This window comes from Homo sapiens, chromosome 5 (genome assembly GCF_000001405.40).
Source record: "Homo sapiens chromosome 5, GRCh38.p14 Primary Assembly".
NCBI classification, from domain to species: Eukaryota; Metazoa; Chordata; class Mammalia; order Primates; family Hominidae; genus Homo; species Homo sapiens.
The window spans coordinates 92912116-92940086 of NC_000005.10; the positions used below are offsets into that span (position 1 = coordinate 92912116).

At 35.3% G+C, this 27971-nt stretch overlaps 1 long non-coding RNA gene across 1 annotated transcript; it reads right to left on the bottom strand.

Moving 5' to 3' along the window:
* On the bottom strand, nucleotides 1–27671 carry LINC02058 (long intergenic non-protein coding RNA 2058). Its single transcript, XR_001742811.3, has 3 exons — nucleotides 27356–27671; nucleotides 1891–2020; nucleotides 1–1770 (listed from the first exon to the last, which is right to left on the bottom strand). It is a non-coding gene; the product is annotated as a long intergenic non-protein coding RNA 2058 (long non-coding RNA).
* Between the last annotated feature and the right edge of the window lie 300 nt (nucleotides 27672–27971).

Sequence of the window (27971 nt, forward strand, 5' to 3'; positions counted from 1 at the left end):
TAAGCTGTGACTGTCCATTTATTTGTATAACACTAGCAACAACACAAAAAAGAAAGAAAAGAAGGAAAAAGAAAGTCCCCACCTCTTACAAAAGCATCACAGGATGACCAAATCCTCTAAGAAATGATAATGGCCAATTCTATATCAAATTTCAGAATTACTGATATAGTATCATGCATATGCAAAAACAGTCACAAAAATGGTGAACATTAAAATGGTGACATTTGATACAGAGAATTCTTTGCCTTTGCATGTTTACATTATTTGCTTTGATAGCAAGGTACCTTTTTGCACATTAACATTATTTGCTTTGATAGTCAATGCTTTTGTTAGTTGTTGAAGTGATTGACAACCTCATGCTGTTCTATTTAATTGCCTTTTCTGCAATGCAAGGTTCTGTGTTTAGAAGATGCTGTTTCATAAATAAATCCAAAGTGTGTGTGTGTGTATGTGTGTGCCTGTGTGTGAACTACAGAGGTTTCATTTCTCAAGCTAATTCTGTAACTATTCAGCAACAGCTGTCGCCATATTTATCTGTATTTACACTGGAGTTCATTCTCATCTTTCATGTTTTTTGCCTTTTCCGTATTTAAGGAAACTCACGGATGTCCTTAAGTGAATGAACACCTTTTTACGAAGCTATTCATGTTTGAGGAAAGAGTAGAGATATTGGACATATCATGTTTTAGCAAAATGTGTAGAAGGTTTAAATTTTCAAGACCTAAACAATTATTTCCCACAAGACTACTCCTAAGATTTAAAACCCCTCAACATTTTGCATTGTGCCTAAATTTACTTTATATCTTTTGCATTTGTTCTCTAAATTAATAGTAAAGTAGCATCTTTTTCTAGTTAACAAATATAATACAGAAACACTTCTGCTAAAGGGTTTGCCACATGATTTTTAAAACTCTCTCATTGAGAGTTTGGTCAACATTATTGAGTTAGACAATATATGTAATTCAATATTGTTAAAATCTTTAACAAATTTTTATTATTTAACCTAAAAATGAAGTTCAAATAATTCTTAAAAGTAAGTTATAATTAAGACATCTTATTATAGTTGTATTCAGGACATGTTTCAAGACAGTTATTACGCTTTTTTGAAAATGTGGTCAACTCTTGGTTTTTTGTTATAAAGCTAGATGATTTTTAACACATTGGATAACAAATTCTGTAGGATTCTACAGCTCAACATGCATGGAATAAATGCTATGGTAACTTGTTCCTCATCCTTTGCTGTGAGCATAAGTTTAAAAAAACAATGAATTCAGTGGTAGAGAAATTAATTTCAGACTGATGTTTCTAACTAGTCTGAGAAATAAAAGTTGGATCACTTGTGATTATCCAATTGCTAAATGAGGCAGAGTGATTTTTTTAAATGCTGAAATATAAATCCTGACAGTGCCACTCAGTCACTGTTAATTGTATAAATCTCTTAACGATTTTTTGTTTGCTTTGAGATAGTGTCTCCATCTGTCACCCAGGCAGGAGTGCAGTGGCGCAATCTCAGCTCACTGCAACCTCTGCCTGCTGGGTTTAAGCAATTCTCTTGTGCCTCAGCCTCCTGAATAGCTGGGACTACAGGTGTGCACCACCATACCTGGCTAATTTTTGTATTTTTAGTAGAGACGGGGTTTCGCCATGTTGATCAAGCTGATCTTGAAATCCTGACCTCACACAATCTGCCCACCTCAGCCTCCCGAAGTGCTAGGATTACAGGCATGAGCCACCGCATTCGGCCAACCATTCTGAGTTCACTTTTTTCATCTGTAAAATAAAAATAAATAGTAACTACTTTATAGGAAACAACCAACACTGGATTATGTGGAGGGAAGGGAGCCAGGAGAATAAATGCCCAGCCCTCACTCTCCACTTTCTGTATCTCACCTCACAATGGACAAATCCAACCCCAGTCTGGAAGGCAGGAGACCATGGATACAGTTCCCAGGGAGTCTCCAGAGCAGAGAGCAGGATGCAGAATGGTGAAGAGTGGATTCTGAGACATAAATGGAAAATGCTAGAATAGACATGAAAAAAAAAAGGAATAAGGCCATAAGACAAAGAGCCCAGAAAGATCTCATTTCTATAATAAAGTTGGAGAAAAATATAGAGGAGATAACACATAGGTGGAACATTGAAGAACAGAGCCAACCATGCAAAGACACAGGCAGAGAAAATTCTAAGCTGAAAGAAGAGTATTGGCAATGGCCCTATGGCAAGAAGTAGCTCATTGTATTATGTGATTTGAAGGAAGACTCATGTGACTTCACAAGTCAAAGTAAGAAATGTAGACTTAATTGGGTATGCAATGTGTTTTAAGCAGAGGAGTGCCATTTAGAATGACCCTTCTGGAAGCTGTGTAAAGAATGACTTGAACCAGAAAAATGGGGAGAAAATAAAGAAAATAAAAAGAAGAAAAGAACAATTTTTAAAAATCCAAACATGTAATCAAATAGATATCACAAGGCAAAACCAAATGATTAAACACCAAATGAATCACATAGACCACAAAGCTCGTAAGTGTTCAGAGACAGAACAGTGCCTTTCAACTTGAGTTGGTAATAAAGGTTTTATGGAAGCTTGGCTTTAAACTGAAATTTAAAGGCTGATGTAGAATGGTAACAAGTGGAGGAAAAGGGAGAGCCAATTCCAGAATAAGAAGAAATGGAAGTTGGATAGTTACAGGAATATTTGGGGAAGAATGAAAGAAGCTTTTTTTCTGGAAAGGAGTAAAGGGGAGGCCCAGGAAGGGAGGGAGAATAACATTTGCTGGCCATTAGTGACTTAATTTTCTGCTCTTCTCTGATAAAGTTATAATTCATAAGCAGTGTATTAGTCTGTTCTTATACTGCTATGAAGACATGTACCTAAGACTGGGTAATTTAAAAAGAAAACAGGTTTAATTGACTCACAGTTCCACATGGCTGGGGAGGCCTCAAGAAACTTACAATCACGGTGGAAGGAGAAGCAAGTACGTCTTACATGGCGGCAGGTGAGACAGAGAGAGAGAGAGAGAACATGCAGGAAAAACTACCACTTATAAAACCATCAGATCTCGTAAGAATTCACTCACTATCATGAGAACAGCATAGGGGAAACCTCCCCCATAATACAATCACTTCTCTCTATGGACATGTGGGGATTACAATTTGAGATGAGATTTGGGTGCAACACAGAGCCAAACTCTATCAACCAGGTAGGTATTTCAATGAGTTTTGTGAGATTTTCAGGTACTATGTACACTAGGGAGATACTTCGGGATTTGCCCCCTCAAATTACATCACATAACCAAGCTATCAACTGCTGACCCACTTGTGGAAATCTGGTTCTGACTAAAATTCTCCAAAGTTCAGAAATACCTGAATTAAAATGTGATTGCAGCAAGGCTTGCCAAGCCAGTGATAACAGTATTACTTGTGTTATCTGCTGTTTTAGAGTGTTCATATCATTGTTTCCTTGGTGAAGATAATTGAGAAAAAACTATGTATTTATTTGTTCTCACTAGTTTTTTAAACTAAGAAATCTGATACTATTAATAATTGAAAATGAGTTGTCATTTTACTGGCCTACAAAACACTGGACAAAGTAGAGATTGCAGTTATATAAATTTTGACGAATATAGTTTTAGTATTAAAAGATAAATATTAAAAATTATTTTTGAGACATTAAAGCCTCAACTTCATTGTTATACTGTGCATGTATATTTTATGTTGAATGGTATGTTTGTTTTTCCTGTAAATGGCATAGAATTTTCAAAATTGGGGTATTTTTCTTCCAGAATGCATTTATTTCTCCCCTGAAGTTTAATGTAAGGAATGTAATTAGCAATATACTTAGTTCTACAAATAATTTTTTTAAAACTGTTATATTCCATATCAACATTAAGCAATCAAAATGAATATTATGTATTCATGTATGAATTGAAGACTCAGAGAATTTAAGACATTTGCTCAAGGTCACATAACAAATAAAGGACACAACTGAAGCTTGAATTGAAAAACAATGGGAGAAAATCATTTTCTCATATCCCTTGTTTGCAATACTTTGAACCTCCCTCTGAGGGCATCAGAGTCATTAATAAACTCACAGTAATCTCAATTTCCTTGTAAGGAAGGTAAAAAATTGTACATATGTTTGTATTTCACAACAAGGCTAGTAATGACCGAGTGAAATTCAGATAAAGAGAGTAAACCGGACTTTTACCAAGAGTCGTGCTGCAAAGTGGCTTCACTTACTACACTCAAAGCACTTCTTATAGTTCATAATGCTATTGTCTCTGTGATTGTTTGATTCATGCCTTTTTCAATAGACTGTAAGAAAATGAACAATTGAACATTAGTATTCCAAATTAATTCATCCTTGAAATGCTTTTGGCTCTCTTTCTACATCAATCTGAAACCCACACTTTCATCAAGCCTATAGTATATTTCCACCAGCTCTATGTACACTTCCTGATTATAGAACCCATTCTTTATCCCCCTTTGTTTATCACACTCCATCTTACTTTTGCAGATTGTCTTTTCCCTAATGAGTGCAGTTTTCATGGAAAAAACCCAGGTTTCTGTCTTACCCGTAAGAAAATCAGGGGTTCCTGCATCTCTTTCTTTTCCAAAACTCTCCTCTCACCTTGCTTTACCTTCACGTGAGCTTGGCTAATTGAAGCCTCTTTACTGGGGCTTTAAATCTTGAGCAGGAAAATACAAGAACAGAATACAAGAACAAGCACAGAAGAAAAGACTAAAAGCAATCATTTTAAAGGACCACATCAGAAGCCTATATACAAATTCAATCAATATCTGTTGAATTAATTTTGAATTCAAGGACTACATAAGAAAATAATCATCAAATAAGGAAACTGTTCATTGAGTTAGATTTTCCTAATAAGATCTGAAAACATCAAAATGCGGACAATTCATTAACCACAATATCTTCTATAAAATGAAGTCTCATTCATGTTGAAATTCTGCAATTTTTTGCTAAACACTGGACTGAAGACTTTTATCTCATTGTTAAAGTCCATTAATAAGGCCAATAGAAGAGAGAGGAATGTGGAATTAATAGGCAAAAGAAAGTGAAGTAATAAAATGAAGTCCGTCATGGCCCATGGCCTTTTCTGCAATATTTTAGTACATTCCTTTGATAAGCAAATACCAAGATCGCATTGCATTCATAACATACTAGGAATTTGCACAAGTAGAGGTTGATTTCATTTCTTATGATTCAAAAATTCTAAATGATTCTCAGTGCTTGCAAACATCATAGTTGCTGGTATTTGAAAATTTCACTGTGTTGTCAATAATTTTTAAAAATAAAAAATTATATCAAATGCAGAAAACAGTCCATAGGGGTGTAAATAAGCCATAGAAGTAATGGCAATACTGCCTGCTTATATAGAACTTTACTGTTTAAAAGCACTTTAACAATTGTGGTTCAAATAATTTACATTATATGAAAGGAATTACTATGGAGGAATTAATAGGTTTAAATACCACTCACACATACAATATATAGAGACATAATATTTCATTTAAAAATTCAGTTTATTAGAAAACATATATATATTTATATATATATTTATTTTTTTCAATGACTTTGCCATAAGAACATATATTATTTCTCCCAAAGTAAGTAAATGTTGGCTTTTCACACACAAAAGATGATAAGGATAATGTTGAAATATTATTTCTCACAGCAATGTTTAAAGCATTTGTATTATGTAAATAATTCATGTATTTTTTTCTTGTTAATACCAATTTGTATAACTATGTATGAGGAATGTTAAGAAATGCCTCATCAGGAGGAGATGAAAGGCTGGCAAAACTTGAAAAATTGAAAGCTAAACAGAAGTGATGGTTATAGTCCTCCTTTCACATTAGAAACTATAAAATTTTCCTGTTTTGTCCCATTTCTCAGTTGGAACATACTCTCACGGAGGAAACACAGATAGATGAAAAATTAACTTCTTTTCTTCTTTAAGAAAACATAAGCAGAATCACTTTTGATTTCTTTAAGTAGTTCAATAAACAATGAGTACTATTTTAAAACTACAGGCATTCCATGGGAATTTCTCTAGAAAGAAATAACTTATATTGAATGTCATTTTATGAGTTGAGTTTATGGAAAGCTATAATCTTTCTGCAATACAGAGTGTAATATAAACTAACTCATGCATGTTTCTTTTTATCTTGGGTATATACAGGAGGCCCAAATTATATGTCAGAAATGACCTAATGTGATTTCTTTTTTCTGAGAGGAACAAGGGAATATTAAAATTGCAGGTATTTGCCAAGAGTTTGCTTAATTTATAAATGATCTGCTTGACTCTGGGTGCACTGGGATATCTTAGTTTTGTCCTAATAGGTTTTTCAGATCATCTTCTGGAATGAGAGGGTTCTACACCAGAGACAGAAAGAGTATTGGGGCAGGGAGAGAAAGGACAAAGGACAGCAAGTAGGAGGTTCCTCAAACGATGTTCTCTTCAAGAATTGGAAATCTTTCATTGATATCTTTGGGAGAACCAAGCCCAAAAATAAGGAAATAAAACATTAAAGGAATAATAACATCCCCAAGACCTTCTAAAGTTAGGGAAGAGATCATGGGAAATGGTGAAGGGCTAGCCACATGTACACTTCCCTATAGTCCAGGCCCAAATGTCCTAAAAATATGTTGAGGTGTCTTAAGGATTGGTAACTTCAATATGAGTTATATTTGCTTTTAGTGTTTATTTCCAGGTAGTCCTTAACAGTAAAAGCCCAAAACAAAAGGTCCCTACACATTTATTTTGGGGTCATAGAGAAAGAGAGAACCATATTTTTATCATATTATGGAGGTGCATGGGGAGGAACTCTAGAAGATCTAAATGTTTTGGGGATGCTGGAGAAGAAAAAAAAAGTCTAAGTAATCATTGTAATCTTCCAGAAGAAATAATAAAGGGGAGGAAAGTAAAAGCTTCAAAATGAAATTATATTACTTTATTAATAATACTTATTAATATTTGTTTTATTCTACCTCTCTAGAATTTCAGGTTTTGTAATGATTAAGGATATATGGATAAGAAGCCATTTATAACTTCACACTAGAATAGTATTTTGCTTTTGTACTGTACGTATTTGTATATGTCACCTTATTTAATATTTATATTAGTGCACTACATTTTATGAGTCAGAAAAATGAGGCTTACAACTACTACTTGATAGACCCATTAATTGGAGAAGCAAAGACTAGAACCTGAGTTTCTAACTGTCCACTTTTCCTTGAATGGTATAAATGTGTTTGTTTTTACTTTTTCTTCTTCATATCAGCATGAGTAGAGAAGAACAGAAATGATTCCAAAAGCAATGCTAAATCTAAAATCTTTTTTAAAGTGTGTATTACAGGATAGATGTTTAAACATGCCTTATTGAGATGGGCTTGTATTTGTCCAATCTAACAACTAAATCCTTTAAAAAAGTGTAGACATTTGTTTTGGCTTTCTTGAAATGGAGGAGACAATATATATGTAGTGCTTCATCCTGAAAATGTTATGAAAACTCATAATTCTTCTCTCTCTCCAGTGCCCCATATACAGGACAGATGTCAAGATATCTCTCTCACTCTTCCTCTGTTCCTTTCTCCTTCATTTTTTGCTGTCTTCTTTATTCCCTCCTTCTAGACAATTGCTGCTCATATTCTACCCCTCCAAAAGCCCTACTTCACCTCTGTGTGACCCCCTCTGCTTCTCCTGTCTTCAGGAATTACACTCGAATATTCTACTGTGACCTCCCTTAGCTTTGGAAGCAGATTTCCAGAATTCTAGTGGATAAAATTCCCCATCGTCATCATATATTTACCACTAAAATTTCTTTCCAATTTTTCTTTAGAATCCTCAAGTCATTTATTTTAAGAGTGTAGTACATCCTTCTTTCCAGAAGTGGCTATTTGATTCATAACTGTCAAATCAGGCCTTTCCTCTGGGATATAGATGATTGGTCCAGGATGGTTGATTGATACAAGAGTAGCGAATCCAAGCTGGTAGAATCAGCTTCTCTTTCTCAGAAACTTGAAACTTATAATCTAGAGACACAGACTGAGATTTGCCAGGGCTCAACATGAGCAGAGATGCAATAAGAGTAGTCACAAACTCCTGCTTCTGAGCTCCCCAGAGCTTCCTTCCCTTGCAGGACTTTGGTTCAGCTCATGCTTGGATACAGTAAAATCCTTAGTGTTATTCCAGTAAATCCTCTAGCCAGAGTCAGTTCTTGCTACCATACAAAACTATTTTCCAAAATTATCTAGATCAGTAGATGATTGATTAATCTAAAAATCATTAATTTCAAGTGGGAAGCCGTACAAGTGCTGAACACTTCAAACCTTTTATTTTTATTTGAAATAAGAAAATGTATACATAGTTTCAAATTAACTTTATATATTCTAATTAAATTTTCCATAGTTATTCTTGTGTAAACCACAGTCAAAATACAATAATTGTGATTTCCAGTTTAAATTTCTTCAAAGTGAAATGGGAATTTTAAGCTAATTATAAAGCAATGTGGGTAAAGAAACCTTCCAAATTTTAAGGATTATTTCCAGATTTATCATTGTTTTACCTACACCCCGATTCCTGAGCATTTTTCAATGATGTGCCATTACCAAATTTTCCCAAATACTCATTTAGTTTTAATACCTATGACAACTCTTTTTCACAATGATAATTCATAAGGAAATAGATATTAAATTAAATTACATAATTATTCATTCTTAAGCATTCAGCTCACTGGTAGGAGAAACAGTGCATCAGCATATTAGAGAATAACAACCTAATTCTTGCATTTAGCATGTTGGTGGCATTAGTGCATTTTATAAGGGAAATAGAGGGTACCTATCAATCTAGAGATTTGGTTATGTGGAGGCAGATTAAATGAGTATCCACTGGACTTAACCAAAAGAGGCCTAGTTAATATAAGTAGGACATTCAATACCAGGTCAAAAGAAGAATTTTAAGTAGATTAAAATATTGCTTATTTAGCCTTTTTCACAATTTCAAATATGCTAATAGTTTGATATTAAAGAGATAGCACTGCTCATTGAAATAAATCGAAAGCTCACATTTGGATTTAACATTTAGAATTATCCAAGCTGAACCCATCTTTCCTGACAGAACAATTACATTTGTTAACCACCAAGCAATGACATACTTCAACCACTTCACTGACTCAGATAGGAAAAAGAACTTTGTGAAATATAGTAAATTCTCTGGAAAAACACATAGTCCTGAATTTCATAATCAATGATGGCACTTTCTAACACTCATTAATTATCATGGCTGAAAATAGCTTTAATTAGTAAATGATCATTAGAAATTACAAAATGATCCTAGCACTTTGGGAGGGCAAGGTGGGCAGATCACGAGGTCAGGAGTTCAAGACCAGCCTGACCAAAATGGTGAAACCCCATCTCTACTAAAAATACAAAAGTTAGCTGGTCATGGTGGCATGTGCCTGTAATCCCAGCTACTCGGGAGGCTGAGGCAGGAGAATTGATTGAATCCAGGGAGGCGGAGGTTGCAGTGAGCCAAGATCATGCCATTGCACTCCAGCCTAGGCGACAAAGCAAAACTCTGTCTTGGAAAAAAAAAAAAATTACAAAATGAGATTTTTAATTAAAAAAATATATAATTGAAACCAATATTAGTAGAGACTGTGGTTATCAGTGGTATTATGTTTCTGAGTTAAATTTAGTATGACCCTTACTTTGATATCAAAATGGCACTAGAAAGTGAAGTTTTTGTTGACTGTGCTATAAGATATGACGAAGAGCATGGAAATGCCACTTGAAACTTCATCGAGTGATCTTCCATATCATTAGGGTGTGAGTTTCTAAAGCTCAATGACCATCAATACATATTGATTAATCTCCAGAAAGAGAAGAATCAATCCGTGACTATGGTTTGTTTGTGAGGTTTACAAGGTGTTGTTCTTCAAAAATCTAAAGGAAATATATATTATCTGCATTCATCAGAGGAGTAGCATATATTCAGAATACCAATAGGCAATTCAGAGCTAATTAGATCCTTTCAAAAGATGCACTGATGCACAAGGTTCAAACTCCTAACTCCTGGAAAATGGAATCACCCCCAAATTCTTGACTAGATCCAGCCTTGCAGTGAATAGCACTTCCAGAGTCACATTCCAGTTCAGGATATCTTGTGTTCATTTTGTCAGTAACAACTGTGTATAACCTCAAATGACAAGAAGGGGTCAGCAGTACTGAGTTCCTACTCTGCAAGCCAACTGGTATCAAAGCCAAGCCCATCGCCACCAAGGACTGCTGAACTAAGAGTGTGAGGAGGACTGACAGAGACAGATGTTAAAGAAACAGTAGGAAGGGGAGCGAGCTAAAGCTGTTGATCACAAGCGATAGGGATGCTGTGAGACACCACCAGAGGCAACAAGGAAAAGCTGTCATTTTCTGGATAGCAACAGGAGTGCGTGCTGTCATGTAGCAATCAGAAATGGGGTGGCTCACACTATAGAAATAATGTCACACTGCCCAAGAGTGAACACACAGTAGGATTGCTAACAGCAAAAAGATTCCCCACCAGCAGCTCCTAGGCTAGGAAAGGACTAAGTCATTCATGCTGTGCCTGTGGAACTCTCTGCAGGGCTCCATTGATCTTGTGGTCTGCACTCATACACATGGCTTGAAATTCCTTCAGCTCTGTTGTCTGTAAATACAAGCCAAGATCGCTCCCTCTCCCTGTGGTTAGGAAGGACAGTGACAATGACTGCACAGGCTTTGCAGGTAGGTGAAAGTTGGGGCAATAATTAAGTACAGTTTGTTTGGTTTTTTTAAACATTCCCTGCCTTCACTTCATGAGATGTTTTGGGGACTGAAGCATGAAACCTTAGTTTTAGAATGTTTTTGGATGAAGGATTGGGGTGGGTATAATCTCAATATAATTAAGTCTATATAAATGCAACATATATAATTAGTGGATATCTCAAATGACACACTCACGAATTCCCACCCTAATAGGTAAGATGCTTATCTTTGGATCCCAGTACTTCGTGAGTATTTTTCTCACAAAATGTCTATTACTCTGCTTTGAAATATAGTAATTTTTCATCCACTAATTGAGTCATTCCGTGAACATTTTTTGAACTTTTATCATGTGCCAGTCACTGTACTAGGTGTTACCTGTTGGTGACAAGACAGAAAAGATTCCTGCCTTCATGGAGTCACAGTTCAGAATGATAGACATTTCAAAAATTAACTAAATTGCTGTGAAAATTATAATTCTGATAAGTGTTATGAAGAAATGCCAGTTTCCTAGACTGTAGTCCTTGTCTAGACTGACTCATCCCATCTATGTATATCCAGTGACAATCAGGACTATGTCTGGCACAGAGCAGATGCCTAATAAACAATAATTTCTTAAATTGAGCTAATGAGTGTAAGAACAATTTCTTGTAAGATTGTTAAAACAATTTTAAGAATAATTTGATTTGTGAAACTTCTGTAATACTGCCTTTTCCCTCCCATCAACATATTCGCTTTTCATTTTTTTGGTAGTATTGAAAGTTTAGAAAAATGACTATTTCTTGTTGAAACAGACTATTTTTAGTGCGCTAGATTTTCAGATTTGAGCTATACTTTTGGAAATCTAGGGCAAACATTTGGTATAGTTCACTGTAACAATGATCCTAATTCTGAGGTCCCACTCTTTGATATGGAGGTTGCAATCCTATACTGCTTCTCTCATTTTAGGCAATATGCTTCTGAAACCTGCATTTATTGTTTAAAACTATCAAATGTACTTTTAAACAGGGTACCAGAAGCCAGAGAGAAAACTGAAGCCACCTATTGAAAAGCCCTGACACCCCATAGGATTCCACTGGCCTACAAGGGTAAATGACACATCTGAAGGGCTCAGTAACCCTTAGGAAAGTAGTTTGAATACCCATTGTAATCTGAGCATGTATCAGCATGTTTTCTTGAGGTTTGCCTCAATTGGTACTTCCAGTGCTGATAATGAGTTTCCTAAGTCAAAGGGTTAACGTCTAGCACAGCAGGGGACCCCCAAACAAACTCTGCTACAGCATTAAAGACTGCATTTGTTAGTTCCTATGCAGCTATGGCTACAAAAAATTTGGAATATCACCCTTGGATAAATCTAAAATTACCCATAATGGCAATTCCAGAAATTTGGAAAAGAACATACATGTGGATTGTAGGTTTCCTTAATGAATGACACAAGTTTGATACATGCATTATTATCTAAAGATTGTCTTCCAACTATGTATTATATTTTGTATTTTGTTGTTGCTTACAACCATTAGAGATAGATGATCTGTGGAAAAACTAAGGGCTGGAAGCTGGTGGTGAATAGTTTACTACTAAACATTTAAATCTACTTGTCTTTGCTCCTGTTACTCTTCATAAAGGGGTGTGATTTAATCTACTGAGGATTACTGTATTCTAGGACACAATAATATATCACTCTTCAACCCTCAAGGAGCTTATATTTCAGTGAGAGGAAACCCATATTACCCAACTGATGTTGATGCAAGGCAGAAGCTAAATATAACAGCAGAAGCAAAAACGCACAGCCATGAGGGCACTGAGGATGAAAAAAGGGATAAAATTGAAGGCAAAGAAACAAGTCCAGTATCAGAGCAGAGTGGTGCCTGATACCTAAACTCTGTAGGTTTGTGATACTAGAATGAAGCTATGGGGGCTAAAAGCACTGAATAGGCAAAATCAAAAGGATGATGTGTTTTGTTGCATACAGGTGGGGCAGCGACGAGATGTAGCCAAGGTTAGCAAGGAGTTCTGCAGCCTGCTTAACTGCAGCAGACACAAAGTTCATCCACTACGTGTATCTAACCTTTGTAAAGATGTACATGCAGGGATTATTTATTTAGTTTAGGTTTGGGACATTATCCTTGTGAGAATCCAGATGCTTTGGTACATTTTATCTTCAGAATTTAACAGAAAAGTCTATCCTTGCCTAGGGTGGCATTTGTTGCTATAAATCATGACATGCTGGGTTTTAGCTGTGGCTCTAAGCTGAAATACGTCTCCTTTTAACTTCTACCAAGTGGTCCCAGTTCTGCCCTCAGGAACTAACACAGATTAAGTTGAATCCCTCTTGTGTGGCAGCCCTTGAACTGTCATTATAAGGGCTCCCTTGAGTTCTTCAGCACCCCCTCAATTCCTTTAGCTATTCATGTTGATGTGGAGTCTGCTCCCTTGCACTGTCCTGGTCATTTTCCTCTGCCCAGGCTCTAACTCCTCAGATCTCTCACAACATAGAAAACCCACCCACAACACAAGGTTCCTGAGTGCTATGACTGATAGAAAGCAGACAGGAACTACTGCTTCCCTCACTCCGTGCACTCCGTGTTTATGAAGACACCTTCAAATTGCTAGCCACATTTTTAAGCAGACTTTCAAACTATTGGTGCTTCCTGAGTTTATAATGTACCCACATTTGGAGACATTTATCAAATGGACTTTGCAAATCCATGTGTCTCCATGCAGACTTCTTTAACTTCAGAATCAACTTAACATAGTTATTGGAGCAGCTGCAAAGGTATCTATTACATTCATGGAGAAAGGAGCAATTATTATGGCATTATACAAAGAGCCAACATTGATTGAGCTCTAGTTACGTGCTAGACAATGTGTTGTTAATCTTTTTAAGACATTGTACCCTGTAAAAAATTAAACTATTAATTTTATTATAAAAGTAATATGAACAAATAGCAATGCATCAAATAGCCTAAAAGGACATAATATGAAAATATGTTTTACCTTCCTATCCCACAGAAACTGCAGATTTCTGTGTTTCCTATATCTTACCAAAATTTCTGTGCATATATATTGTATATCTTGTTTATATATTATATGTATAGTACTCTGGTCTTAAATGTTTTAATTTAACTAATTCTTGGTAATCATTTTGTACATCACACATAGAGCCATCTTAACCTGATGAGTATCTGTCTGCATGTCATTGTGTGGACGTACCACAACTTGCATCTCATATAATTTAAGAAAAGTTCCACAGATTGGATCTTACTGTCTTCATTAAACATGTAGAAAACTGAGGTTTTAAAAAATTATTACCTTGCCTGCTGCCACTCATTTGAAAATAACTCAGTAAGGTTTAAAATGCATATCATTCTACATATATGTGCTATTAATCACCTCTCTAGAAAAATAATTTTCACTGGTGAATTTCATAGCACTTCACAAGCAGATTTTTCTAAGTACATAACAGGTCTTCCTCTATATTTTAAAATTGGAAAAATGAGATTTAGAAAATGGTTTGAGCATTTGACAATTGCCAGAAATATTAAAATTGCTCAGATTGACCTGCTCTAGTTCAGCTTTTAGAGTCTGTGGACACAGTGATTTGCCAGATTCTGACTGCCAATGAACTAATGTAGTCCACATTCCTGAGCGTTGTAAATTTCTGTACAAAGTTTCATTGCACAGGTGCCTTTTGTTTTTGTTTATTTTTAACAGAAATTGTTACAGTATCCAGAAATATCTCATCTTGTATTGAAAAATCTGTGTTTTATTTAGAAAGGTTTAATATTTTTATTTACCCTATTTCAGAAAGCCATAGTTGGTCCTATCTCCTGGACTCATATGCCATCATTGTTTCTTGAATCAAGCTGCTAATTGAATGCAGAAAATATTAAAATATGATTATGAGTCTGCTAAAAGAATAAACATGTCAAGTGTCAACAAAATACTGTAAGTCTGCTGTGCTTCAAACTAACTGAGTCAAAATAGATTCCTAAAATTTGTTCTTTCCAGTGCCTGTTTGAAAAAGTGAAAGAGATACACCTGTTGTATTAACACATTCACTGATCACCAAGGCTGTTCATCTTTACAATAAATAAGTTAAGAATTTGGGTTCTCTGGCAATTCTCAGTTCAATCTGACTGACTCTGGTACCTCTCTAATCAAATATATCCACATGATATTTTAAGCTGCATTATAGTACATTAATAGCTTGTAAAGTGAAATTGATGCAGCATGATGGACTGTATTCCTGAAGCAGTGACAAATTTATCAGTGATAGATTCACTAATGGAAATGTTGAATTGCAATAAATATAAATGCAGAATAGCAATTGCAGAGCATTAAAAATGTCATCTGTGAGTTTAGGTATTTATGAGGCTGAGACAGCTGGAAACATGAGTGGCGCGTTCCTATGAGCCACTGCAACTCTGGGGTTCCAAGGAAAGCAGAGGCCCTTTCATCAAATAGGCCAGGCCGCCGGCAAATTGTTGTCACAGCTGTGCCATTGTCAATTAGGCCTCCAATGACTCAGTCCTTTGTTTTTCCTGCTTGCACAACTCACTGCACCTTTTCTCTGGGCTTGGGTGCTTCACTCCTGCAACCTTTCCACCACCTTTCCCCTCAGTGACTCTCCTCACATGTTCTGATTCATCTTCCAGCCATTGATCTAAAACTCAGAGAAGTGACATCAGGGAAGCATCTCAGCTACTTCAAAAGGCACTGCTATTCCTTCTGGGCTATTTTGGCATGTCAAACCCAACAGGCCCAGCAGAAATGCTCCATGCTGTTACACATTTGCCTCTGATGTGTCTGGTGCACCTGCCCAGCCTTCCTGAACTCTAAAGACTGTGTTTAATGTCAGCAAAATCTGGCTGGACATCAGGAGCCAGGGTGCAGTGGAGGACAGTGCACCTCACTTGGGTTTTGTTTGTTTGTTTGTTTGTGTTTTGTCATACTCTTGCAAGAACAGCAGCATAAGGATCAACTCACAGGCATGTGTGTTAATAGGCAGAAAGAGATTGGACCTAGAAAGTTTTTCCTAAGCTAGTGATTGGTTATGCAATATTTTGAAACATACTGGCATGGAAGATTGAGTTAGCAACATTTTTTAGTATGTGCCAATCTCAGGTTTGATAATGAGGTGTGTTATAGCTACCCATATATCCTCTTTTCATTTCTTGAGCTTTCATCTGCTTCCAGTGTTTTCAGCAATTGGTGCGCATTTGTTGTCAGCATATTGAAGTAAATTACTCAATACTTTTTGGAATCAGATGTCACAACTTGCTCTTAATGGCAATAGAAGGTTATCAAAGTGAGGTTATTTTAGAAGGTTATTAGATTTGCCAAGAATAAATAAATGTTTGGCAATTATAATTCAGTTTAGTATGAAAATAAGTTAGCTTGCTTGTCACTGATTCTGCTTATCATCACAAATCCATGATAACTAAACTCTGAATTAAGCTCTAGTGACATTCCTCTGTCATTGTCGTTCAGTAGAAGTAAACAACATGAGTAATAAAATTAAAAGAAAAGCAATATGCAACACAACAATATACAAACAATGGCATGACAGTCTTAGTACAAAGGTGATATTCCTAGTCTAAAAGCCTAGCCATACCAAAAAAAAAAAGTAAGGGATTTTTATAAACCTGACTCTTCAATGTTGTTCTGGTTGATTGTTTAATAAACTATAAAATATTTAGAAACTATCTCAGCCTTAAAATCAAATTTTTAACATGTTGCTAAAACTCACCAAGATATAAGAATCATTTTGGTGTTTTTAAATAGCTAAGACCAAAAATCATGGCTGCTGCGTACAAATGAGTAAATGGAAAGAAAATGCCAAAAAAAAAAAATTATGAGAGTTAAAGGCAGATAACTTTATTGGAATTCTTCTGATTCTTATTAGACCAAAAATTCAGTTAAACTACTTTTCATTAAACACCAGTTATAATCCCAAGCAACTTTTTAACCTCTCATGATGATGCTAAAAAATTTATCCACTGAGTAAATATATCCATTGGGTGTCTGTTACATGTCAACCAAGAAATACAAAAGGAATAAGCAAGACCAAGCCTTCATGGGATCTTATATTATGCACAAGAAAAGAAAAGTTAAGACATAAATTTTTTTAAAGATAAACAATAGAAACGGTTAGATATCAATAACTATAATACAATGCAAAGAATTAAAATTGGATGATGTCAGGTGAGTAATCAGCTACCTGTTTTAGGATGGGCAGAAAAAGCCTCTCTGAGGAGGTTGATATTTAAGCTGAAAATTACAAATGATGACAAGAAGTCAGCCATGAAAAAATAGAGAAAGTATTTCAAGTAGCAGAACAGTTGAGGCAAAACAAGTTTGCCAAGTCCAAGCAATAAAAAAAAGACCATTTTGATAGAATCATAGGTGGAGATATAAAGAGTAATTGAGGGGTGGTTAAAGAAGCAAGCAGGGGTTAGAATAAAGCTTTTTAATTCAGAGAAGGCTTTAGGTCTGATGATGGAAAGCCACTGGAGGATTTAAGCATGGTAATGGCACGATCTCTATTATTCTAAAATATCATTCTGGATGCTCTGTGTAGAAAAGATTGGAGGTTAAAGAAGGAAATCATTTAGGAGACTATAGCCAAAGTGGCTTGGACTATGATCATGGTAGAGATAGAAAGAAGTGGGAAATTTTGGGATTGTTTTAGAAATGTTTTAAAAGGAGAATTGCTAGCACTTGCTGATGAAACTGACATAAAGGATGAGGAGAATAATAAGAATAATTTTTAGATTTTTTTGTTTGTGTTTTGTTTATTTGAGCCACTGGATGGATACTAATACTTTTTACCTAAGTGGGAAAGACTCATGTAAGAGCAGGTTTGGGGGAAAATGAAGTGTTCTGGATTTAGCCATGTTAAATTGGAGACGCTGTTCAGTAAAGGGTTAATTCAGACTTGTGGTGTTCAAACCCTTCACCTTCCAAAAAAGGACTGGCTCTTGACCAGCTTCTGAGATAGGTCTATAAGCTCTTGAAATATTCTGCATGATAAGAGTGTCTTTGTATACCTGGGGTCTTGCTAACAATGTGATTTATGGTAAACACCTGTTTTTGTTTTCTGGGTCCCTGAGACTATATCCGTTTGACCTAAGGTTAATCATATAGGTGCTGCATGCCTATATGAGCGACTCACAGTCAAAACCATGCACATCAGGACTCAGGTGAGCTTCCCTGGTTGGCAGTACTTTTCATGTATTATCACACATTATTGTTGGGAGAATTAAGTGCTGGCCATACAATGTTACCCGGAGAAGACAACTGGAAGCTGCATCTGATTTCCTCTGTACTTTGCCCTCTGTACCATTTTTTTTTCTGATTGCAATCTGTATCCATTCACTGTAACAAACTGTCACCATGAGTACAAAAGCTTTTCTGAGTTCTATGAGTCCTTCTAGAAAATCATTGAATCTGAGAGTAGCTTTGGAGACCCACAACACAGATGTTTATTAGATATCGAAGAGGAGATATTTTATAGGCTGTTGGCTAAGTGAATTGAGAATTCTAGGAGGAATCAAAACAGGAGATAATGATTTTGAGAGTCATGGGCATATAGATGATAGTCTAAAATGTGGGAAGTTCCCCTAGGAAGTGTCTCTAGGAATATCACCTACAATGTCTGCTATTTTTAAAAAGTTGAATTGGATTAAGTCCCTGTTTTTAGGAGCTCCTGTTATTGACAGGAGCCCGGAAGACACATTGGAGATGGATGCAGAAGCTACCACCTATAAATGGAGAAGAAATTCAGAAGGGGCAGCAACTAGATGCAGTAGAGAAAGAGGTCCCAGAGTAGGGCTCATTGGTCCAGGACCTTGAAGAATGAGTAGTATCTTCCTGGTCACTTGGAAAGGGCTCACATGCAAAGAGGAAACAAAACACTCATACTTTATTTAATTTTATGAAGCTATAATACATTTAGTGATTTAGCACTTTGGGAAGGAACTTAAAATACTCTGATAGGCAGAATAATGGATTCTTAAAAATGTTCACATCCTAATCCCAAGAATCTGTGAATATTACCTTTCACGGCAAAGGGGCCTTTGCAGATGTGTTTATGGATGACATCCTGGGTTATCCAGGCAACCCAATGTAATCACATGAGTTCTTCAAAGTGGAGTTCTTTGCCTGGCTGTCATCAGAGAAAGATGTGACGAGGGAGGCAGGGTGAGGGAGAGGCAAATTTACTGGTCTTGAACATGAAGAAAGGAAGGAGTACATGGGCGAAAGAATGCAGAAAACCTCTAGAAGCCAGAAGAAAAACAAGGAGAAAAATTCTTCCCTAGAGCTTCTGGAAGGAAAATAGCCTTGCCAAAGTTTTGATCAATGGGCAAGTAAGACCCATGTGAGATTTCTGGCCTATAGAATTATAAAATAATACATTTGCATTGTTTTAAACTGTAATTTGTTACAATAGCAATAGAAAACCAACACAAGTTTTTTAGAAGTTGTCGTTCTCTTCTTATTTATACACCCTTTACTTTTAAAAAATGTAAGGGAACAACTTATAAGAGAAATCTCGCTTTGTTTGAATCTTCAAAAATTCACTTCAAGAAGCCTAACAAGTATAACCCCGCTCTATAATTCTTGAACACTTGCTATAACATAGAAACTGTTTATTGCAAAAAAAAAGAATCAAACTGAATCAAATATTTTATAAAAATAACCCTTGCTTTTTGGTGCTTTATTAACCAAAATTGTTAAAATATCCAGAATTTTTTTTATTGATGAGAACTTTATGCAAAATTCTTGTAATTGCTGATCTTCAAATATACAAATCACAGACCACTATAGAAGTCAGAAGACCAAAGTCTATCACTCTACTCCCAAATCAATCAAACCAGCCTGCCTTTTATCTCTTTTGCATATTGAATGTCTATAAAAGAATGTGCTTAAATAAGAGGTCTGCTGCTGCTTAAGAAAGTTGAAATACTGGTAACCTAGGTTGTCTAAGTTCTGAACAACTCATTAGACTTCTGGTGGTCTATTCTGAATAAACACAGAGATCATTAGTGATGACATACTACTTATACAATCATAACAATTATCAAATTAGGACTCCTCTTCATGGTATTAAAATGTAAGCTCCACACAAGACGAAAAGATGTCTTGGTTAACCTCAATTCCTACTGCATTGTTAAATGATGGAAGTCACTACTTCCTAAGTGTGTTTCATGGAACGCTGGTACTATGAGATGCTTCAAACCACAAAAGTTTCTGTAGCTGATACAGAAAATTCTGCATCTTAAATACTTCCCGTACAAATTTACAATGATTTTTTAAGCCCCAAATGAAAGATGGCTATTTGTCTTTGTTGAAACCAATATTTCCCAAAGTTATATGATCACCAAATTCTTAGAATGTGGGTGTTGGGGGAGTATTGTAGGACAACATTCCATAAAGCTGGTGTTCCCACAGTACGGATATTCAGAAATGCTATCTTAAGCTAGATGCAAAGGAAGAAAATATTTTCAAATATTCATTCTTTGAGTCAAGACAGTTTTATTCTAATCATGCTACATATTTTTTAAAAAGTTAGTACCTTATTAAAGATAAAGATGTCACTGCCATAGTATATCTCCTTCTCTCCATAAATTGTGTGTGTGTGTATATATGTTTGTGTGTGTGTGTGTGTGTGTGTGTGTGTGTGTGTGTGTTGCTTTTCCTTCCATGGCTGTCTGTCAGTGTCTTAGGCACTGTCTTCCTGTGCTTGATTCTGTTTTTTCTCTCAAATGGCCTTGGGTCTTGAGCCACTGTGAGAGCTGACCCTCCTCTAAAGACCGGTTCTCAAGCTTAAGGACACCTAGGATAAACAGCCTTAAGGACGTCTAGACATGTTAACTTGAGACTATGGAAACCTGACTCAGAATAGACAACCCAGAATACTATGCACATCTTGATTCTCTAAAAAGAAGGAAGTCTTTAACTCTGTCTCTTGTTCAGCTATACCTTGAGCTAGCTGAGACATAAAACAGCCCTCTTTCAGCCACATATAGAATACGTTGTCGGGATTTTCATCAAGGGCATGATGGGTGATATGGCCCTCATGTTCTTTGAATACCGGACAGTTCCTTGGAAAGAATTTTCAACTTGATGAATTCCTTGTTTGAAATTATGATAAGTAAATCTCTGTTAACTGAGTAATGGTATTGCTGCCTTTATATATTCTTAGATTTTAATGAAGTTATTAAATTCATTTTTAAAAGAAGATAAAGCCAGATATCAACTCGACCTTGAGTGTCTCATTGACAACCACTTTTCATATAACTGAAAAAATAATTCTGAATGACAATTTTCGTTCATTTTTCCCTGAAATAAAACCAATAAGTTAATCACTGTATCATTCGGTTCCCTCATCTGTAAAAAGAAGGGAATTTATTTAGAATGCTGCTAAGGTCCCTTACATTGCTAACATTTATGACTAAGAAATCATAAACTGTTATATAAATGTAACTTCTATGGTGTTCCTCATTAGTAATAATAATAAAGTAATTCTATAACTACATGCTCCACAAAATATACTGTATAACGGTAAGGAGTTTACCTCAGCAATTTTTTGAGAAAGAGCAACAAGGAAACTGCTATTGAAACAAACAGAAAGAAAGAAAGAAAAAGAAAGAAGAAAGAAAGAAAGAAAGAGAAAGAAAGAAAGAAATAGGAATTTACATAGTTGAGATTTGTCATTTGATTTCCCTATTTTTCACTTTAATTGTTATTCAATTAATCTAGACTTTTCAATTTCATAGAACAGTATTTTACTTTATGTAGAATTTTATTTTATCATAGTATTTTATTTTATTTAGATATTTTTCCTAGGCACTATCGAATTGCATTCCATGGAATTAAATAGAATTTTGTGACTCTCCCTTACAGTTGTGTTCCTGTGTAACCTTAGAGGCAGGCTTTAAAACTGACAGCTTCAGAGGTCCCAGAATGGGGCTTAAAGCCTTCCTCCTCTGATTATCCTCCCCTGAAAATGTCTCAGAGAAACTCAATGGTTTGAGGGATGTTATTTTATGAAGTTGTTCATCTTTCTTCCTGAAAATTAAATAGGACCTACTCACTTTCTCCAAGCTGCCTACTCATGGCATGTAGTCCAACTTTGTTTAGTGTATTCAAGTATTGACAAAGATTAAGTATATACTTGCGCCAAAACTTATGCTAGGTCCTAGAACCACAAAGAAGCATTTCAAAAATTCACTATGTAGATTCATTTATTCAGTAAGTATAATTTGAATCATAATGCATCTACACAGTAGACCTTCAATAGATATTGCTGAAAGAAAAAAATACAAATAAGAAAGAATCCTTGGTACCTGAATAGAGCATAAAGAATAGAAGAAAACTAAACACCTATCTAGAAAGTAATATAATTTTATGCTAACTCACTATTACTGTAGTATTACTTATTGACATAGCAGTTACGTTTGAGGTTGTGCTTCTATTTTCATTCCAAATCAGTTTGTGCCACAATTGCTTTACATGGTAAGTAAAAGACCAACTAAGAAAATCCATGGGGATAGCACAGCTGTCTAACAAGTTTAGTGTTAGAACAAGAACTATGCAACTGATTAGTGCTGATTTTGGTTTATTGCACTGGAAGGAGGATATAGAACCTCAAAAGGGAGACTCCAAGAACGGTCTTATCTATATGGGCAGCAAGAGAAGATAGAGCCACATGAGCAGAATCTGGCAGGAGAAAAAGCAATGAAGTGGTGAGTACCTGCCTGTAATACGATATTTTCCCTCTTATGCTTTTCTAGTTATAGCAGCAGAAAAGACCACGAACAACACAGGTGCTAAAGGAAAGAGCAGGAAAGAACCTCGAAACATAAGCTCTTGTTGTTCTTTGAAAACATTTTTTTCTTTCAGAGTGCAAGAAATTTAAGATTAAAGCTCCTGAAAGCAGCTCACTATTGATAGGGAGGGGATAGAGAGCATATCTGAGTTCTCTACATTTGCTTATTCAAAAATATGCAAACCACATTAAAATTCCAATTCATATTCAAAATCTCAGTGTAGCGTGGGAATTTTCTTTTTAAACTATCACGAAAGACTCCACAAAGTGCACAACCTTGCACAAAGGCTGTCACAACCCCACACCAAAAATACTTGTGCCAGGGCATCTGCCCAACAACTGCCTGTCCAAGTTCAGACTGGTGTCACCCTTGTTATTGACCTTTGTAGCCAAGGTCTCAAAACAATTACATTAATCCTCCTCATTTTTTTCCTTTAAAATTTTTGTCTTGCTTTACCTCTCTGAGTATAGCATGGAAATTTTTAAGAGTCTCATAACACAGTTCAATATTTCCATAAACAGATTGAAATTATTCATAACAACACTAATAACCTGATATAGTATTTTGGAGATATTAATTTCATTTCCTAAGACCACATCTTTATCCCCAGACTGATACAATCATTCTAAGCACAATTACAATCATGACGTCCAAGTACAAGATTCAGCATAACACCTCCACAGAGAAAAGTGAACAGCAAAGACCCAGAACTTTCTTACTACCACTTTGGTGACATAATGGGCCATGTAGTTTGATCAAAAATTTCAACAAAAATAATTCATTCTTTACTGGTAAAGTACTATTTTAAAAATTATGTTTAAAATTAAAAGCACTATAATGAATTATCTTATTCCAGCTAAGTAGCATAAAAAGATAAAATAACAGATTTAAAAATTTTATTTAAAAGATCAAAAGCCACATCCACAAGTTGTACTTATGGACGTTCTTGCCTTACATTTCATGAATCCGTGTCTTTATATCAACACCCCTGCATGACATCAGTACCCAGAAAATGAACAGAGTTGTAAAAGGAGAGGCTTCCTACCTGCTCACTAGAACATCCATGTATCTATTAACATTTATTATGCACCTTCTATGTGTTAGAAATTGTAATTCCTAGTTAATGAAAAAAAGATATGGCCTCCGTTTTCAAATAATTCACAGGGTTTTTTTTTTAAGGAAATGACAAGCTGACCGACTAAAATTTGAGCCAAGATAGACCTATGCACAGTCCTGGGTATGGAGGGAGGTAGGTGAAGCTGGAATCAGAAGTCTTTTTGGCAGCTGGAGCTCAGTGTTGAAGGTTAAATTCAAATTACACAAGTGGGACCAAAGAGTAGGTGATCCAGGCAGAGAGACCAGAATATGTGCCAAGACTCAGGAGTGTGAGAAACTGAAGGGGCATGAGAGAAGAGCCTTATATCCCACACTAAAGAGTGTGAGTCTTTAGCCATAGGTGATGGAGAGCCACTCTGTGGAAGTGACACAACCAGATTTGCTCTTCAGAAAGCTATCTCTGGTGGCTTGCATGGGATGCAATAAAGAAACTCAAAACTGGACACAGTGAAGGGCTAATGTAAAAATCCACACAGGCCCTGGAAATGTCTGAATTTCTTGAGAATCTCATCATTATCCCCACCACAATCATCATCATCATCATCATCATTACCACCACAATATGATAAAGCCATGCATACATTATCTCATTTGATCCACATAATAACAATAGTGCTATTATTATCCCTATTTTACAGCTGGGAAAGTGGTAATCAGCAGAGTTAAGATTGAAACCCAGGAGTTTTGGTATTTCATGCTCAGCTTTCTGTTCATCTGTGTGTCCACATCCCTTCATGTGTCCACATCCCTTCATGTGAACAGTAGTTCAGAGATTGTTTTGGTTGGGGATCTGTCACTTTCTAGATAAAAAGCATTTAGGTACTAGGCAGAGAGGAGACTGTGAGAACTTCTTTTAATTATCTGGCCACCTCAAAAATAATGTATTCTCCAACTGTATATACATAAAGAGACAAAAAAGATCAATATTCAAAAATACATAATATAAGAAAATGTTCTGTGACCAATAAATGTTCTTTGAAGACTAAAAATATCAAACTCTAACTAAAAGCCTAATATAGATTTCATCTGATAAAAAGAGTCAAAAGTAATCAGTTGTTCTCTTTCATTATGTGCCTTTGAACTACTACATTATTTTAATGTTAAAGAGTCTGTTCCTAATAGTTGCACAGTTATATGACTGCAACTTGTTTTATTTTGACTAACTCATTCTCTATGACAAGAATACTATATTCATATTATAGTACATATGTTGCATTATCAAAATATTGGCTATTGAATTTAGTACTTTATTATTTGGAAAAGATATGAAGACAGTGCTCTCTTATAAACACATTTTATTTGAAGTGACAGTTTCTGGACCCACTGGTCCAAGCAAGAACTTCATTGTTTCTGGCAAGGATCCCAGAGAAGATCTTCATAACTCAAAAACTTAAATATCACTTTTGTTTAGGATAAACCATCATAATACTGCCAAAACTGATAGAAATGCACATTACCAAAAATTAATTGTAGGAATAACAATGAATATAGTAGGTAAGAATCTATTTTCCAATTTTAAATAGACAATATTTAGAGGTTGGTTTTTACATAGAAGAGGACATTTTGCTGCACAAGAATTCTTGTCCTCTTCTATGTAAAAACTAATTTGTTTCATGTTTATTAAAGTAAAGAATTTAATGAGAACCCAAGAGCAGAGTAAATAATGCTCAGTCCTTGCTACTTTAAACAAATAAAAAAATACTGGATTAAGAAAATGTGGCACATATACACCATGGAATACTATGCAGCCATAAAAAATAATGAGTTCACGTCCTTTATAGGGACATGGATGAAGCTGGAACCCATCATTCTCAGCAAACTATCGCAAGGAAAAAAACCAAACACCAAATGTTCTCACTCATAGGTGGGAATTGAACAATGAGAACACATGGACACAGGAAGGGGAACATCACACACTGGGACCTGTTGTGGGGTGGGGGAAGTGGGGGGAGGGATAGCATTAGGAGATATACCTAATGTTAAATGATGAGTAAATGGGTGCAGCACACCAACATGGCACATGTATACATATGTAACTAATCTGCACGTTGTGCACATGTACCCTAAAACTTAAAGTATAATAAAAAAAAAACTATCAGGAAAAAAAAATACTAAAGAACAAATAAAACCAATGTACTGAAAGTCTTGAATTATAATGTTAACATAGATACTTCCTACTGCTATCACTTACCTTCTGTCAACCTCAAATTCATGTTGGTAAAATAGATTTAAATTTTGTTTGTTAAATTATTATGAAGCTAAAGGGAAACTTTGTATGCAGTGTACTGGTCTATAAGCCCTTTGAGAGCAGGGACCACGTCAGTTCATTATTTCATGCCTAGCCAAATAGTGCCTTCCACCTGGACATTATTCATTGAATATTGGTTGAATGAACAAGTAAATGGAGGAATGGATAAAATAATTAAATAGAAAGTAGAATTTAAATAATATTCTGATAAATCAGGAAAAATTGTTCATTTGTAGGAGAGGAAGGAAGATTCAAAACCCTGGGTTATTAAAATTAATTGTCCACTCTAATTGAATTCGCAGAATAACTTGACTTAAATTCACAGGTTAATTTCTCTCCAATTACAAATGCAATAATCTGCTATGGGCACAGTGCCAGCATGAACACTGGATCGCTGTGATCAGCCAGACTTAGCACTGTGTTATTTGACTTTATTTTCTTTCCCAACAGATAAGATTTATTTCTTCTCCCTGTCTAGAACTTATGTTTATGTCTGCACATCTCCATTTCCTTAAGTAACCAGTGACTTAAGGAGAATATCTCTATTTTGATCAATGCAAAATAAAATTTAATTAAAGCATGTTTAGTCCTAATTTCTGAGTAACAATTTCTTACCAATATTATAAGTTTAAAAACATTTGTAAATTAGCACAAGACATGCCTTCTAACATGTTTATTTTATTGCATTTAAACAGCTCTCTTTCTGACAAAATTCTGAAAGAAAAAATGTATAATGCTTATCTAATTCTCAAGATAATAAATTTGTGATATTTTTCCTCTTTATAATCAACATTTTTTCTCATCTTAGAAAAAAATAAAATCAATCACCAAAGGAAATAGGAATAATAATTATTAAAATATACAGAATACTACCATATAGAAACATAGATCAGGAAATGAACTAAGATCTATTTAGAATCTTAAAATTAAAGTATCATTTCCTGCCATGATTCTAGAAACTTTAAAAAATATATTTCTCTATTATCAAGTCTTGTAACTTTCATGGTCATATGGTTTTTAATTATTTCACAGCATGGCATGTTCTTAATTCTCAAGAGGCAAATAATCATGAGTTTATCTTGATTACTTTTTAAACGGCATTTATTTTGAAGAAATAAGTGAAAATAGCATATTAGTACAACATTTTATCTAAATAACATCTTGGGCATTTTCATAAACTCCAAAGACTCAAGATTTCAAGAAAAATGACATTTTACTTTTCCTCAACTATTTCTGATCATTTTCTGTAAATGTGACTCATAAAATTAATATTCATTTTCTCATTAGTGCCCTTAGTATAAAACGTTGTATTTTGGAAAATTTTAAGAGTGTAGTACAACAAGGTTTAACTTACCTTATAAGGAATTTGTTTTTGTAAACTCTTTTCAATACGACCTCACTTCTCTGGTCAAAAGCAATCCAGAGACTTCCCTCTCTTCTCTTCCTCTTCCCTGACTGCCAGTGGGTGGATGGTTTCCTCTCTGTCTGCGATAAGCACTGCAGAGGACTCTCGGAGTTTGTCCTCACTCCTGATGCCACACACCTTTTCTTGGCACTTTATCTCGTCCCAGGGGAAGATTCCTGCAGAAATTTCCTTCTCTGTAATCTCTTGACAGATGGCTCTGCTGGCAAGAACCTCAATCCTTAGGAGTGCATTAATAGGCTTTTATTCTCCCACACTGCCTTCTCACAGGTTTTATTTTTTAATTGCACATTAGTTGATACCTCATGTCCTAACAGGCCAGGGGATCATTGCACCCTTGTAATATTCCCAGCAAATCTGTTTTTCTGTTTTTTTAATTTCTATAAATTTGTGAAGCTAGTTTCTTTTTAATAGTTCATTAATTTCCTTCTTCTATTCTCAGAGGCAGTTGGGAAAAAAGGCTCAGTAATTTACTTTAAAACACAAACTGAATATTGACTTGTTCAAATACAAATAAAGTAATTTTTTATGGCTGAGAAAATTGTAA